At 38.4% G+C, this 18,099-nt stretch overlaps 1 protein-coding gene across 1 annotated transcript in view; it reads left to right on the top strand.

The window, feature by feature from the left end:
• Positions 1-16,142: 16,142 nt before the first annotated feature.
• GPR149 (G protein-coupled receptor 149) overlaps positions 16,143-18,099 on the top strand; it is a 95,248-nt gene continuing 93,291 nt past the window's right edge. The window contains exon 1 of the mRNA NM_001038705.3: positions 16,143-17,698. Within this exon, the coding sequence (NP_001033794.1) occupies positions 16,718-17,698 (981 nt within the window). The 5' untranslated portion in view covers positions 16,143-16,717. The remainder of the gene's footprint in view (positions 17,699-18,099) is intronic.

The following is an 18,099-nucleotide window of genomic DNA, read 5'->3' as shown; positions in this document are numbered from 1 at the left end:
CATTCTCTAAACTCAGGGTTCCTCTTCTCTAACATAACCCTTACTGTATGTATGGATGTTACCTGACCCTCTCCACCTATTCCTTTAGGAATTTGGGGTTGGGAAACTGGCAAAAGAAAATGATAATATTCTGACTACTGCTGTTGCAGTCTTTTATTTCTGAACCAGGAATTCTATGTCTTTTGCCAAGAAACTGTAGCAAGCTCATTTATTAGCTTTGCAAGTTAGCTTGCAAAGGTAAAATGTACCAGCATTTCTTTGCAGTATCCCCCAACTGGCAACAACATAGATGTTCATCTGTGATGAATTAATAAATAAACTGTGGAAGGTTCATAAATTTAAATACTATACCTCACAGAGAAAGAACAAACCACTGTATTCCAAAACATGAATAAATTTTACAAACATTATGTTGAACAAATGAAGCCAGACATACAAAAGTACGTTATCATTCCAAGGAAACCTAATCAATAATTACAGATTAAAAATCAGCATAGTGGTTGCAGGAGGAAAGGTAGTAACTAGAAGGAGAACAACGCGGCTTCTTACACTCTGCTAATGTGTTTTTCTTCAAGGTTAGTTCACTCTGTGAAAACTTATTGAACTGCACACTTATCATTTGCACACTTTTCTGTATTCATGCTATACTTCAATTGAATTCATTGAAAAATATTATTTCTTTGGATGAATCAACAGAAAAGAATAGGTAGAACAGAAAAGAAAGTCTCAAATAGACCTAATTCATATGGGAAATTATTATACCTGTATATTAAAGGTGTCATATCAAATCAATTGGGAAAAGATAGAATACGTAAAATTATGTTGGTGCAACTGAATAGCTTCTTGGGAAATAAAAATAAAATAATGTTATTTTCTAAGCTCTTATGCCAAAATAAATTCAGCAGGTAAAACTTAAAAAGTGATAGCAAAGACTACTATCAAAAAAAGACAATAGCAAGTGTTGACAAGGACGCAGAGAAATTTAAACCCTTATGTATTGTTAGTAGGACTATAAAATGGTGCAAACACTATGAACAACAATATGATGATTCCTTTAAAAATTAAAAATAGAACTACTACATGACCCAACAATTTCACTTCTGGGTATATATCCAAAGAATTTAAAGCAGAATCTCAAAGAGATATTGCACATGAATTTTTATAACATCACTATTTACAATGACCAAGAGGTGGAAGCAACCCAAATGTCCATCAACAGACAAACTGATAAACAAAATGTGATGCACACATATGATGGAACATTATTCAGCCTTGTATTTTTTCTTTTTTTTATTTTGGTGACGCTGAGTCTCACTCTGTCGCCAGGCTGGAGTGCAGTGGCGCGATCTCAGCTCACTGCAACCTCAGCCTCCCAGGTTCAAGCAATTCTCCTGCTTCAGCCTCCTAAGTAGCTGGGATTACAGTCACGCACCATCACACCCGGCTACTTTTTGTATTTTCAGTAGAGATGGGGTTTCGCCATGTTGCCCAGGCTGGTCCTGAACTCCTGACCTCAGGTGATCCACCCCCCTCGGCCTCCCAAAGTGCTGGGGTTACAGGCATGAGCCACCATGCCTGGCCCAGTTTTGTATATTTTGATGGTCTGATATTAGATGCATAAATGTTTTTTATTGTTATGTATTCTTGTTGTATTGACACTTTTATTAACTTACAATGTCCTTTTTTGTCTCTTGTAAGCATTTTTTTTGTTTAGTCTCTATTGTCTGGTATTACAATAATCTGCTCTCTTTTTTCCTGCTATTTGCATGAAATATCTTTTTCTATCCTTTCACTTTTACCTACTATGTCTTTGGTTCTAAAGTGAGTCTCTTGTAGACAGCATTTGGGATTGTTTTGTAAAGCAAAATAATAGGAAAAAAAACTAATACGTACTTCAGTTAGAAAATAATTAAATAAATTATAGTATATCCATAAAATAAAATACAAAATAGTAATATAAAAATAATTAAGTGATGATATGATGTGATCTCCAATGAAATTTGATTCATGAAAGAACAAGATATTGAAACATATGTAAGTGTAGATTTCATTTGTATGTACACGTGAAACTGCCAATAGTCATCATTTCTGCAAAAGGAGAAGATAGTTTTCTTTTGTACTTTTGTGACTGTTGTTGTTTGCCATACCTTTAGTTATATTTAGCCCATTTTCAAATCTGACTTAATGGCATTCATCTCAAATCCTTTTTGAAACAAATAAACTTTAAAATATGTAATCTTTGTCTATTAACTTGTCTATATCCCTAACCTTTCTGGGATGACCATATTTCTTTAAATTCCAACGCCTTGACACAAGCACCAAAATACATCTGCTTGGACACCTCAAATCCACGTCCACTATGTATTCTCTTTCTTCCTTCCCTTTTCTCTCTTCTCCCCTCTCCCTCTCTCTCTCTCTCTATCACTTCCTCTTTCCTTTCTCTCCACTCTTTTCATTGTAAAGCATATTAATGAGCATCAAATGGAGAATTTAATTGTGTATACAGTGACCTTTGTTATTCTGATCTGCTTTTCATCTGAGCTTTAAAAGTTCTTCAAGATAGATATTATTATGTTTATGAAGATAGTGGAATTCAGCCATAGCTTAAGTGACTTGATGAAGGATTCAAAGAAATCCACAATGAGACATTTAGGTTATCAGATTCCAACTTCTCCACCATAGTAACTAGAGAATTGATATCACTTTTCACCTTTGCAGGACTCTTATTTTTAAGCCCTCACTACGTTTTTCTTTCATTCAAAATTTTTAAAAATCCTTCATAAATGCTTCACTTCAAATGCACCTAAAGTTTGGGCGTGGTGGCTCATGCCTGTAATCTCAGAACTTTGGAGGCCAAGGCAGACAGATCACTTGAGCCCAGGAGTTCAAAACCAGCCTGGGCAACAGAGTGAGACCTCGTCTCTACACAAAAATCAAAAAACGAGGTGGGAGGATGGTTTGAGTTTGGGAGGTCGACGCTACAATGAGCCATGACCACTGCACTCCTGAATACACCCAAACTAGGGATATTTCTCACTACATATCTTAAAGAACTTCCAACTTTGTGAGTAGACAAAGCATGAGGAAAATGAGGGAGATCAGTTTAATTTCTAATTGTCACTGAACTGCGGTGAACAAATGATTTTGTTTGCGTGCTTTAACATCTCAAGTGTAGAGTTTGGACAAAACCTAACTTTTTCTTAGGAAACTAAAAGCTACTGAGGTAATTTTTGTAAGAACTTGGAGCTCAATGATACTAAATGAAAAGAAAGAACAGGAGGCCATCTGCTGATTTAGGAACTGTAAAATATGTATTGCCTCAAGAAGTTCTCTTCCCTAGCAATCACTCTGATTTACTGAGGCTCACAGTATGTTTGGAAAGGCAAGAAATCTAGAGAATAGGGCAGAAAAATAAAGCACCTACCATCCTGTCCCTATAAGCCAGGGTTCTGTCTCTGAATAATCAAGTTCAATCCTAACCCCTTCGATTACCAGCAGTGTGGCTATAGGTTGGTTATTTAACCTCTGCTTCAGTTCCTCTGTCTGGAAAATGGGGCTAAACCTAATACCCATACCATAAGACTGTGAAATTAAATTAGTTAATACATGTAAATAACTTAGAAGAATGCCTAGCACATTATAAGAATTAAAATATTAGCCATTGATATTGTTGCCATAAATATTATTAATAATTATACATAATTTATGTATAAATATATTTATTACATAATATAGCATATTATTATGTATTTTAGAATAGACAGGGTGTATGGATATGTCTAAATCTCACAAATGACCCAAACATTCTACCAGAGATAATTTTACATTGAAATATTCCTCCATATAAACCAAGAATCAACAAAATGTTTTTTGAAAAGGGCCAGATAGTAAATATTTTTGTCTTTCTTGTTCACATAGCTCCTTTCAGAGCTACTCAGAGTTCAACTCTGTTGTTGTAGCTTGAATGTAGCCATTTAAGAAAAAGTAAATGAATGGGTGTGACTGTGTTCTGATAAAACTTTATGTACAAAAACAGGTCATAGTTTGCCAACCCCTAAAATAAACCAAGAAATGTTTCAAAGTCCTTGTTTTAACCTAGTGAGGAAAGCTTAGACCTCACTCAATAACACAGTTACTTTTCTGATGAAAGACATAAGATAAAACATATTTCCCATTACATTCTCCAGATATCACCTCAAGACAAGATAATGATGCTTAAAGAGAACACAGAGTGCTCAGGTTAAAAAGCAAAGCTGTAGCACTTGGCAAAGAGAGAAATTACTTCCAGGGCAATGTATGTCATTCATTTTGCAAAGGATTGGAAAGAGCAACCATCTTTGAGAACATGGTTGATTAACTTTTGGTACTTAAACTTTGAGCAATTGTAGATGTAGAAAGTGAGATATTTCTGAAAATGCTAAGAAAGGCATTATTTTAAAAGGAGCAATATCCCAATACATCCTGGTATGGGACAGAAATAATGAGGGTGCAGGGGGTGGTACATAATCATCAAGGATTAGCATATCATAAACCATACAAGATGAAGAGAAAGGGATTCTATCAGAACCAAAAACCATTGTCGTAACTACATAACAGTTTTCACCAGCTCTCTGATAAAAAAGAAACTAAAAATTAATAGCAGAACTCCCTTGCATATCATTTATAGTGATAGTAATTAGCTCAAGGTAATATTCTATTCTTGAAATACTGAGATGTTTGAAAGAATTTCTTTGAAATCTTGTAACTCAAGTGGACCTCATAATAAGGAACAAGGGTTCTCCCTGCATTACCTCATTACTAACTTAAGGCTTAGTCAACTTTATTTTTTTGCATCAGAACATTCTCATCCCAAGCATTAATTATTTATTATATTGAGTCCCTTGGGATGAGAGGTTATTTTCAAAAAGAAGAATTTAAGGAAGGTGATAATATGAAAAGTGATTAGACTGTAAGATTCACAAGAACAGTAACTACAGTATTCTGTTTACCACTAATGTACATGGTCTGATTGCTAGACACTCAAATAGTTGTTGAATAAATGAATGAATGAATGTTTATAGTATATTATTATGTTTAGGAGGACAGTATATTATTTATATTTTTATTCTATGGGATAGGTTGAGTCATTCGCAATCCATTTAACAGCTTCACACAGCTCTATATGAAAGCTCTCTTCCAGATATATTTATTATATGGCTAAATAGATGTTACATAACTACTGTGGTTAAGATCCATGTCCAGAATAGGTATTATTAAAACTGAATAAACAACACCAACTAATGAGAAAGCTTTTTCTCTCTAGCTGTTCTACTTTTACATGTAAACACACATATCTTTAACATTTTTGTGTCTTATCCATGGAATTGGTTAAAAATAAAAGTAATTTCCCATTTGAGACACCTTTAAAACAATCCCCACAAGTGTCAAGTACTGTCTTTGAACTGACAGCTTATTAATCAGGTTTCTAAAGATTATATTCACAAAAAAGTCTCTCTGACTTTGAGCCATGTGAAATTGTGTCCTAAACTCATAGTTATTAGATAGTACTAAGATGTTGTAGGTTTTTAATGATACATTGAAAAAGAAGAAAATAAATCACAGCATTTGGGTTCTCCTGTGATGCCAAATTGCTAGTCACTTTCTTGGAAAACTATCAGCTGAAGCAGAGTATGCGTGTATTTTATATAATGTAGATATACATACAATTATATAAGTTATAAATTTATATACTCAAATCTATTTGTATTTATAAAATATGAATTTTATTTATATGTTTTATGCATGAAATTGAATAATTTATGGATCTTTCACTTGAGATTTGTTGATAAGTTTGTAAGCATCTTATGCTAAGCCAGTACTCTAAAATGTTTTGGGTGCATAGCACTCTATTTCTAAAAACAGAAAAAAAAAATACCTTCATGATTAACTTTATCTATGATGCTTTATTTATTTTTATAAAACAAAACTAACTTATTTCATTTGGTCCTGTGGTAACTTTTTTATTGTCAAAGCCCCACATTGCTAAGAATGTTATTTTATAATATTCAACTATAACTTTTTACACTATTTCCTAGTCTTTGAGGATTTTCAGATATCATGCTCCGAGAATTTTTAGATATAGTGTGGACTTTTAGGGAAATAAATTGCCTGTGGTGCTTTGCAAAGATATAATTACATCAGAGCTTCATAAACTACAAGCCTAATGGAATTATTGCCATGCAATTTTCTGTAGGTTGTTTAAATTGTCTGCAATTTATTCCTGTAAAATTTCTGTAATTTAGCACTCTGTAGGTTGTTTAACAGTTTATAATACTGTATTACATATAGTACATGTTTTAAAGTAGCCAAAGAAGCAGTGAGATAAAAATAAGTGTCTTCACCTAAGCTATTCTGGCAGAACCATAACTTTTATTTAAATTAATGCAAATTTGCATTAACAAATTTAAAGACACAATTTACAATCATTGAAGATATAAAGTTCCATTATAGGTGAGACAGATGAACAAAGCTCACTCACAGGAACTGAGTAAAATTTTTTAAGGCACAAAGAAGCTTCTTAGAAATCTTTTTTCATGGTCTCCTGAAAGTTATTCTGGTTATTGAAAATGCACTGGGGTGCAGCCAAGATGGCCGAATAGGAACAGCTCCAGTCTACAGCTCCCAGGGTAAGCGATGAAGAAGACAAATGATTTCTGCATTTCCAACTGAGGTACCGGGTTCATCTCACTGGGGATTGTTGGACAGTGGGTGCAGGACAATGGGTGAAGCGCACCTAGCATGAGCCAAAGGAGGGCGAGGCATCACCTCACCCGGGAAGCACAAGGGGTCAGGGAATTCCCTTTCGTAGCCAAAAAAAGGGGTGACAGACGGCACCTGGAAAATCGTGTCAATCCCACCCTAATACTACGCTTTTCCAATGGTCTTAGCAAACAGCAAACCAGGAGATTGTATCCTGCGCCTGGCTAAGAGGGTCCTACACCCACAGAACCTAGCTCATTGCTAGCACAGCAGTCTGAGATCAAACTGCAAGGCAGCAGCGAGGCTGGGGGAGGGGCGCCCACCATTGCCGAGGATTGAGTACGTAAACAAAGCAGCCCGGAAGCTCGAACTCGGTGGAGCCCACCGCAGCTCAAGGAGGCCTGCCTGCCTCTGTAGACTCCACCTCTGGGTGCAGGGCATAGCCAAACAAAAGGCAGCAGAAACCTCTGCAGACTTAAATGTCCCTGTCTGACAGCTTTGAAGAGAGTAGTGGTTCTCCCAGCACACAGCTTGAGATCTGAGAACAGACAGACTGCCTCCTCAAGTGGGTCCCTGACCCCTGAGTAGCCTAACTGGGAGGCATCCCCTAGTAGGGGCAGACTGACACTTCACACGTCCAGGTACTCCTCTGAGACAAAACTTCCAGAGGAATGATCAGGCAGCAACATTTGCTGTTCAACAATATCCGCTGTTCTGCAGCCTCTGCTGCTGATACCCAGGCAAACAGGGTCTGGAGTGGACCTCCAGCAAACTCCAACAGACCTGCAGCTGAGGGTCCTGACTGTTAGAAGGAAAACTAACAAACAGATAGGACATCCACACCAAAACCCCATCTGTATGTCACCATCATCAAAGACCAAAGGTAGATAAAACCACAAACATGGGGAAAAAACAGAGCAGAAAAACGGAAAATTCTAAAAATCAGAGCACCTCTCCTCCTCCAAAGGGACACAGCTCCTCACCAGCAACGGAACAAAGCTGGACGGAGAATGACTTTGACGAGTTGAGAGAAGAAGTCTTCAGACGATCAAACTACTCCAAGCTAAAGGAGGAAGTTCGAACCCATGGCAAAGAAGTTAAAAACCTTGAAAAAAGATTAGATGAATGGCTAACTAGAATAACCAATGCAGAGAAGTCCTTAAAGGACCTGATGGAGCTGAAAACCATGGCAAGAGAACTACGTGACAAATGCACAAGCCTCAGTAGCCGATTCGATCAACTAGAAGAAGGGGTATCAGTTATGAAAGTTCAAATGAATGAAATGAAGTGAGAAGAGAAGTTTAGAGAAAAAAGAATAAAAAGAAATAAATAAAGCCTCCAAGAAATATGGGACTATGTGAAAAAACCAAATCTACATCTGATTAGTGTACCTGAAAGTGACAGGGAGAATGGAACCAAGTTGGAAAACACTCTGCAGGATATTATCCAGGAGAACTTCCCCAATCTAGCAAGGCAGGCCAACATTCAAATTCAGGAAATACAGAGATACTCCTCAAGAAGAGCAACTCCAAGACACATAATTGTCAGATTCACCAAAGTAGAAATGAAGGAAAAAATGTTAAGGGCAGCCAAAGAGAAAGGTCGGGTTACCCACAAAGGGAAGCCCATCAGACTAACAGCCGATCTCTTGGCAGAAAATCTACAAGCCAGAAGAGAGTGGGGGCCAATAATCAACATTCTTAAAAGAAAAGAATTTTCAACCCAGAATGTCATATCCAACCAAACTAAGCTTCATAAGTGAAGGAGAAATAAAATCCTTTACAGACAAGCAAATGCTGAGAGATTTTGTCACCACCAGGCCTGCCTTACAAGAGCTCCTAAAGGAAGCACTAAACATAGAAAGGAAAAACCAGTACTAGCCACTGCAAAAACATGCCAAATTGTAAAGGCCATCAAGGCTAGGAAGAAACTGCATCAACTAACGAGCAAAATAACCAGCTAACATCATAATGACAGGATCAAATTCACACATAACAATATTAACCTTAAATGTAAATGGACTAAGTGCTCCAATTAAAACACACAGACTGGCAAATTGGATAAAGAGTCAAGACCCATCAGTGTGTTGTATTCAGGAAACCCATCTCACATTCAGAGACACACATAGGCCCAAAATAAAGGGAAAGAGGAAGATCTACCAAGCAAATGGAAAACAAAAAAGGTAGGGGTTGCAATCCTAGTCTCTGATAAAACAGACTTTAAACCAACAAAGATCAAAAGAGACAAAGAAGGCCATTACATAATGGTAAAGGGATCAATTCAACAAGAAGAGCTAACTATCCTAAATATATATGCACCCAATACAGGAGCACCCAGATTCATAAAGTAAGTCCTTAGAGACCTACAAAGAGACTTAGACTCCCACACAATAATAATGGGAGACTTTAACACCACACTGTCAACATTAGACAGACCAACGAGATAGAAAGTAAAAAAAGGATATCTAGGAATTAAACTCAGCTCTGCACCAAGCAGACCTAATAGACATCTACAGAACTCTCCACCCCAAATCAACAGAATATGCATTCTTCTCAGCACCACACCACACCTATTCCAAAATTGATCACATAGTTGGAAGTAAAGCATTCCTCAGCAGATGTAAAAGAACAGAAATTATAACAAACTGTCTCTCAGACCACAGTACAATCAAACTAGAACTCAGGATTAAGAAACTCACTCAAAACCGCTCAACTACATGGAAACTGAACAACCTGCTCCTGAATGACTACTGGGTACATAACGAAATGAAGGCAGAACTAAAGATGTTCTTTGAAACCAACGAGAACAAAGACACAACATACCAGGATCTCTGGGACACATTCAAAGCAGTGTATAGAGGGAAATTTATAGCACCAAATGCCCACAAGAGAAAGCAGGAAAGATCTAAAATTGACACCCTAACATCACAATTAAAAGAACTAGAGAAGCAAGAGCAAACACATTCAAAAGCTAGCAGAAGGCAAGAAATAACTAAGATCAAAGCAGAACTGAAGGACATACAGACACAAAAAAAACCTTCAAAAAAATCAATGAATCCAGGAGCTGGTTTTTTGAAATGATCAACAAAATTGATAGACCGCTAGCAAGACTAATAAAAAAGAAAAGAGAGAAGAATCAAATAGACGCAATAAAAAATGATAAAGGGGATATCACCACCGATCCCACAGAAATACAAACTACCATCAGAGAATACTATAAACACCTGTACGCAAATAAACTAGAAAATCTAGAAGAAATGGATAAATCCCTGGACACATACACACTCCCAAGACTAAACCAGGAGGAAGTTGAATCTCTGAATAGACCAATAACAGGCTCTGAAATTGAGACAATAATTAATACTTACCAACCAAAAAATGTCCAGGACCAGATGGATTCACAGCCAAATTCTACCAGAGGTACAAGGAGGAGCTGGTACTATTCCTTCTGAAACTATTCCAATCAATAGAAAAAGAGGGAATCCTCCCTAACTCATTTTATGAGGCCAGCATCATCCTGATACCAAAGCCTGGCAGAGACACAACAAAAAAAGAGAATTTTAGACCAATAACCCTGATGAACATCGATGCAAAAATCCTCAATAAAATACTGGCAAACCGAATCCAGCAGCACATCAAAAAGCTTATCCACCATGGTCAAGTGGGCTTCATTCCTGGGATGCAAGGCTAGTTCAACATACACAAATCAATAAACATAATCCAGCATATAAGCAGAACCAAAGACAAAACCCACATGATTTTCTCAATAGATGCAGAAAAGGCCTTTGACAAAATTCAACAGCTCTTCATGCTAAAAACTCTCAATAAATTAGGTATTGATGGGACGTACCTCGAAATAATAAGAGCTATCTATGACAAACCCACAGCCAATATCATAATGAATGGGCAAAAACTGGAAGCATTCCCTTTGAAAACTGGCACAAGACAGGTATGCCCTCTCTCACCATTCCTATTCAACATAGTGTTGGAAGTTCTGGCCAGGCAATCAGGCAGGAGAAGGAAATAAAGGGTATTCAATTAGGAAAAGAGGAAGTCAAATTGTCCCTGTTTGCAGATGACATGATTGTATATCTAGAAAACCCCATCATCTCAGCCCAAAATCTCCTTAAGCTGATAAGCAACTTCAGCAAAGTCTCAGGATACAAAATCAATGTGCAAAATCACAAGCATTCTTATACAACAATAACAGATAAACAGAGACCCAAATCATGAGTGAACTCCCATTCACAATTGCTTCAAAGAGAATAAAATACCTAGGAATCCAACTTACAAGGGATGTGAAGGACCTTTTCAAGGAGAACTACAAACCGCTGCTCAATGAAATAAAAGAAGATACAAACAAATGGAAGAACATTCCATGCTCATGGGTAGGAGGAATCAATATCGTGAAAATGGCCATACTGCCCAAGGTAATTTATAGATTCAATACCATCCCCATCAATTTACCAATGACTTTCTTCACAGAATTGGAAAAAACTACTTTAAAGTTCATATTGAACCAAAAAAGAGCCCACATTGCCAAGTCAATCCTAAGCCAAAAGAACAAAGCTGGAGGCATCACGCTACCTGACTTCAAACTATACTACAAGGCTACAGTAACCAAAACAGCATGATACTGGTACCAAAACAGAGATATAGACCAATGGAACAGAACAGAGCCCTTAGAAATAATGCCACATATCTACAACTATCTGATGTTTGACAAAACTGAGAAAAACAAGCAATGGGGAAAGGATTCCCTATTCAATAAATGGTGCTGGGAAAACTGGCTAGCCATATGTACAAAGCTGAAACTGGATCTGTTCCTTACACCTGATACGAAAATTAATTCAAGATGGATTAAAGACTTAAATGTTAGACCTGAAACCATAAAAACCCTAGAAGAAAACCTAGGCAATACCATTCAGGACATAGGCATGGGCAAGGACTTCATGTCTGAAACACCAAAAGCCGTGGCAACAAAAGCCAAAATTGACAAATGGGATCTAATTAAATTAAAGAGCTTCTGCACAGCAAAAGAAACTACCATCAGAGTGAACAGGCATCCTACAGAATGGGAGAAAATTTTTGCAATCTACTCATCTGACAAAGGGCTAATATCCAGAATCTACAATGAACTCAAACAAATTTACAAGAAAAAAACAAAGAACCCCATCAAGTGGGCAAAGGATATGAACAGACACTTCTCAAGAGAAGAAATTCATGCAGCCAAAAGACACATGAAAAAATCCTCATCATCACTGGCCATCAGAGATGGCCACAATGAGATACCGCAATGAGATACCATCTCATACCAGTTAGAATGGCGATCATTAAAAAGTCAGGAATCAACAAGTGCTGGAGAGGATGTGGAGAAATAGGAACACTTTTACACTGTTGGTAGGACTGTAAACTAGTTCAACCTTTGTGGAAGTCAGTGTGGCGATTCCTCAGGAATCTAGAACTAGAAATACCATTTGACCCAGCCATCCTATTACTGGATATATACCCAAAGGATTATAAATCATGCTGCTATAAAGACACATGCACATGTATGTTTATTGTGGCACTATTCACAATAGCAAAGACTTGGAACCAACCTAAATGTCCAACAATGATAGACTGGATTAAGAAAATGTGGCACATATACACCATGGAATACTATGCAGCCATAAAAAATGATGAGTTCATGTCCTTTGTAGGGACATGGATGAAGCTGGAAGCCATCATTCTCAGCAAACTATGGCAAGGACAAAAAACCAAACATCACATGTTCTCACTCATAGGTGGCAATGGAACACTGAGAACACATGGACACAGGAAGGGGAACATCACACACTGGGGCCTGTTGTGGGGTGGGGGGAGGGGAGAGGGATAGCATTAGGAGCTATACCTAATGTTAAATGACAAGTTAATGGGTGCAGCACACCAACATGGCACATGTATACATATGTAACAAACCTGCACATTGTGCACATGTACCCTAAAACGTAAAGTATAATTAAAAAAAAAAAAAGAAAATGCATTGAGAATGATTTTTTTTCCTCAGGAGGGTATTTTAAAGAAAATGAAATTATGGCTAAGGAGTTTACAATTTTCAAGAAATTCATCACTCATATATAATAATGTTCATGAACTCAATTTATAAACAACCTTTTACCAACCTTTATGTTTTATAATACATATAATGCATTATAAATACGTATATACATTTATAATACATATAATGCATTATAAAACATATTTATGTATGTTGTAGATACATATATAATACATTATAAAATATAAAGGCTGGTAAAATATTGCAAATTAAAATTTTATAAAATGAGACATTTCAAACATTCTTTGAAAGAAAGAAAAGCAGAAATAAAACTTTAGATTATCTGTATCCATTGAAAGTGTTCCCAAGGATGGAGAACTAAAAAGGAGTTACTAGCAAATATGTATCTGTTGTGATTAAGAATGCAGAACTAAACTACAGTTTTAAAATCTAACTTAATAAATGTGTGACTTTGGGCAAATCAATTAATCTCTCATGCCTCTGTTTTCTCACCTATGAAAGGGGAGCAATAATATATCTAACAATATTGGGATGAGCTAGGGTATTATCCATTATCAGTCAACTCCACAAATTCAGTGATTTACACAACAAATTTTACCTCTCATTCATACAAAACTTGCTTTAGGTTCATACAGATCTCCAGAGCAAGACTTAATCTCTCAGTTGGCTCAAGATTTCAGGCTGCTTGAGTCTTATACTACCTTCTTATAAACAGGAGCCCCCAGGCTATCACAGAGAAGGAGAAATCATGCAGACCCAAGCATTAGTTATTGCTGGCTTCCACCTCTTATTAGATGACAATGTTGATTATTATAAAGTAGGCAGGAAATAAAATAGAGATAAGGTTAACCTGAACTTTTAAAAATTGTATCATTTAATTTTAGAACTGGAAAGGTCTCTAAAAATAATCCAGTCAAATCCCTCACTATGCTTTGAATGTGTCCCCCAAAGCTCATGTGTTGAAAACTTAATACAAGTGCAAGAGTCTTGGAAAGTGGGGCCTAAAAAGAGATGATTGGATCACGAGGGTTCTGCTCTCATGAGTGAATTAAGGCCATTACCTCAGAAGTGGGCTAGTTACAGAAGGTGGGCTTGTTATAAAAGTGAGACCATGTGCAGAGGCTCACACCTATAATCCCAACACCTTAGGAGGCCGAGGTGGGTGGATCACTTGAGGCCAGGAGTTTGAGACCAGCCTGGACAACATAGTGAGACCTTGCCTCTAAAAAATACAAAAAAAAAAAAACAAAAAAAAAACACCGTAACTGGTCATGGTTGCTCAAACCTGTAGTTCCAACTACTTGGAAGGCTGAGGCAGGAGAATCACTTGAGCCCAGGAGTTGGAGGCTTTAGTGAGCTATGATGGTGCCACTGCCACTCCAACCTGGGTGACAGAGCAAGACCCTGGCTCTTTAAAAAGAAAAAAAAAAGTGAGTTCAGCCCCCTCTTTCTCTCTTTCTTTCTCTCATGCTCTCTTGCCGTTCTACCTTCTACCATGGGATGATGCAGCAAGAAGGTCCTTGCAAGATGCTGGAACCTTGATATTGGATTTCCCAGCCTCCAGAACTATGAGAAATATTTTTTTTCTTTATAAATTTCATAGTCTGTGGTATTCTGTTTTGGCAACACAAAATAGACTAAGATGCCTCTTTATTTTACAGATGCAGAAACAGACAGCCAGAGAAAGTACAAGAATTGTTGTCCTAGGTTACCTATCCTGCAATAGCAGAGTCTAAAGTTAAATTCAGATATCTCTACTAGCTCTCTCCTGGCTGCAGTTCTGCTACCAACCCTTGGAAATGTGCTAAACATTCTTGTTTCTTCTGTAATAGCCCAAAGAACAGTACAACATGGTGATTAAGTATCCCTTTTCCAAATTTATATTTAATGGAAAACCCAGAAATGATGATAATAATAGGGGAAATGTTCTCAGACCTGAAATGGTACTACAGTAGCTATTATTAATTTCTATTCATTGTATATTAACAATCTGAGACTTATTGTCCAACCTAACTGAAAATGCAGGATTCAATACGATATTGAAGAATAATATTTTTGCTATGGCAAGGAAGAATAAGGTTTGTGAGAAGAGACAGAATGGCATGTCATGGAACTTTGAAGTCTTCAAAAATAAGATTTGTTTTTCATCATACTTTCTGAATCAACATTATTTTAAAATGAATATACCCTCAACCTTTCCTACTCACACAGCCCTACACAGTCTATACTATCAGTAGGGAGAGCTAGAGTGCTGAGCTAGCTGTTACATGTGTTTTTTGTTTCCATTTGCTGAGTAAGGGGGAAAATCAAACAATCAACATATCAAGATAAGTGAAATACCTGCTGTGTTTATTGAAGGGTGTGGCTGGTAATGACTAATGCAACCATTTTCTACTTGAACAGATTCGGGTTCAAAATGATACTTCAGTTATTTCTAAAATGAAAAGAATGATCGCAGTTCTATTACTACTTCCAGTTATTAAATCATTATCAATATCAACTATTTCCTTTCCCTTCCCCTGTTTCCATTTAAACCTCCAGCACTATGTGGGAGAATGCAGCCATCTGGTCATGAGGCTAAGCTGAGAAGAATGCTGCCCTAAAGCATCCTGGGAAATGCTGGACCAGAAGTACTTCTGTTAGATACTTCTTTGCTAAATCACGCATCTTGCAAAATTGACCATTAAGAGATACAACTATTGTATGTCCCAAATACTCTGGTTAAAAATGTAGGGTGATCTTCCTTTTAGGCCCTATGTAATATCTTCCGACTTTATGGATACTTAGACATATAATTTATTCGAATGACAGCCTGCTTACTTGATACCATTGACAGAAAATAGTTATAAATAAATGTCTAAAGCTAGTGTGACTCTATCCAAAGATTCTGTATAATCCCGTTTAGAGTAATGAGGACTATAACGACAATCTTAAGTACACTATTTTTTTAAAAGAAATCTGATACATCTGACTCTTATGCATGGGATTGATGATATTCTTCCTCCAATGGATTATGAAGCAGAAAGTCTAGGTAAGAATAAAAGCAGTCCCTTAGTTACTGGAGTAGCTTAGACCTCTCACAGGTTATATTTGTAGTTCACATCAAGCCTGAGCAAGTATTTGGACTAATTTTACATGTTGAAACCAAAGGGGAAGCTTAGCAAGTACACCGTTTCTTGCTTTGAAAGAGTCAGTCTAAGATATACGTATATCATTTTGTTCACACACTGAACTCCCCTCCCTTTTTTTCCTGCTTCTCTCCTGCTTGGAGCTGACTCCTCCTTCCTGCAGCTCCGAGGATCACAGGCTGATTGAAGAACACAGCGGTTCAGATGGGATTCTGTGCACAAGCTCCCTCTGACTGGCTCGCGCTCGCCCTCTCTCTCTCTCTCTCTGTCTCTCTCTCTCTCTCCACCTTCAAAGCTGAAACCTACCTGACAATCTCCTGCCTTTGAATCCAGCTCTGGAACCAAATGCATCATTTTACTGCTCTTAAAAGTGAACAGAGTTTGATTATCTCAAGCTACAAGCTGCTTTGCTCCATAAGAAGGACCCCAAAGGATCCAGACATCATTGGTTTTTAATGTACCTGAAGAGTTTTGTTTTGTTTATTTTTTTGGCTTTCTTCCCTGAAACTTGATGGTGGGAAGGAGTTTTTGCTTTGTTTTTAATTGGAATGTTGAAAAGTTATCTGTTCGGGTTTTTTTTTTTTTATGCTTGAAATGGAACCTAATTTTTAAATATAGCTTGAGTCAGATCTAAAGGAGACATGGCTGACCATTTTCTGCAGGACTGACAAGGAGAACATCTAGAGGGGAACTTGGTAGGAGGAATGAAATCTGATTTGCAGCAGCCGGTCTTTCTTTTGAGAAAATTATCAGACTCATTGATAAGGGAAATTAAATATTGACCAAGGACAATGTCTTTATTTCTCAGTAACTTATCAACAAATGACTCTAGCCTGTGGAAAGAGAATCATAATTCTACGGACCTTTTAAATCCGCCAGGAACCCTGAATATCTATCTTTTTTGCTTGACATGTCTCATGACTTTTGCAGCCTTGGTGGGCAGCATTTATTCACTAATTTCCCTGCTGAAAATGCAGAACAGAACTGTTGTGTCCATGCTTGTGGCTTCCTGGTCTGTGGATGATCTCATGAGCGTCCTGTCGGTGACCATCTTCATGTTTTTGCAGTGGCCAAACGAGGTCCCCGGTTACTTCCAATTTCTGTGCACCACCTCTGCCTTAATGTATTTATGCCAGGGCCTCTCTAGCAACTTGAAGGCGACTCTCCTAGTCTCTTACAACTTTTATACGATGCACAGAGGTGTGGGGAGCCAGACAGCCTCCAGAAGATCGGGCCAGGTGCTCGGCGTGGTGCTGACCGTGTGGGCAGCCAGTCTGCTGCTCTCGGCGCTCCCGCTGTGCGGCTGGGGCGCCTTCGTGCGCACGCCCTGGGGCTGCCTGGTGGACTGCTCCAGCTCCTACGTACTATTCCTCTCTATCGTGTACGCTTTGGCCTTCGGACTCCTCGTGGGCCTCTCAGTCCCACTCACTCACCGATTGCTGTGTTCGGAGGAGCCGCCGAGACTCCACTCCAACTACCAGGAAATTTCCCGTGGAGCTTCAATTCCTGGGACCCCTCCTACTGCGGGGAGAGTGGTTTCCCTGTCCCCAGAGGATGCTCCAGGCCCGAGTCTGCGGCGCTCTGGGGGATGCTCTCCGAGCTCCGACACCGTGTTCGGACCGGGTGCGCCCGCTGCCGCTGGGGCTGAAGCCTGCAGGCGTGAGAACCGGGGGACTCTCTATGGCACCAGGAGCTTCACCGTGAGCGTAGCGCAGAAGCGCTTCGCTTTGATCCTAGCGCTTACAAAAGTCGTCCTTTGGCTGCCCATGATGGTAAAAGTGCAGTTGCTCACAAAGCGCGAGTGTGTGTGCCAGACAGTGTAAATGAGTGTTGGGACCGGCGTCGCCGGTTTGGGGAGTCACCAAGAGACACACAGTGAAGTCCGCTTCCAAGTGTATCTCGCTGGGTTTTAGACATGCACTTAGAAGAAGGCAGTTCGGGACAGGGCTAGTTGGCTGCGAAACCTTTACTACTAAATGCTTCTCCTTTCAAAAGTCAGGGGCATGGGGATCGCTTTCCGTCGCGAGCGACTTAGTTTTCCATATCGGTGGTGGCCAAGGATATTGTCTCACACAGCAAAATCAGAGAGTATTCAGAAAAGGAAAGAGGGAATTAAAAGGTTTTTTCCCCACAACCTTCTGTCATCCCTTTCTCGCCGTTCCATTCCCGCCTA

This window comes from Homo sapiens, chromosome 3, assembly GCF_000001405.40.
Source record: "Homo sapiens chromosome 3, GRCh38.p14 Primary Assembly".
Taxonomy (NCBI): domain Eukaryota; kingdom Metazoa; phylum Chordata; class Mammalia; order Primates; family Hominidae; genus Homo; species Homo sapiens.
Note: the sequence above shows the minus strand (reverse complement) of the source record. Positions and strands in the feature narration are given on the sequence as shown.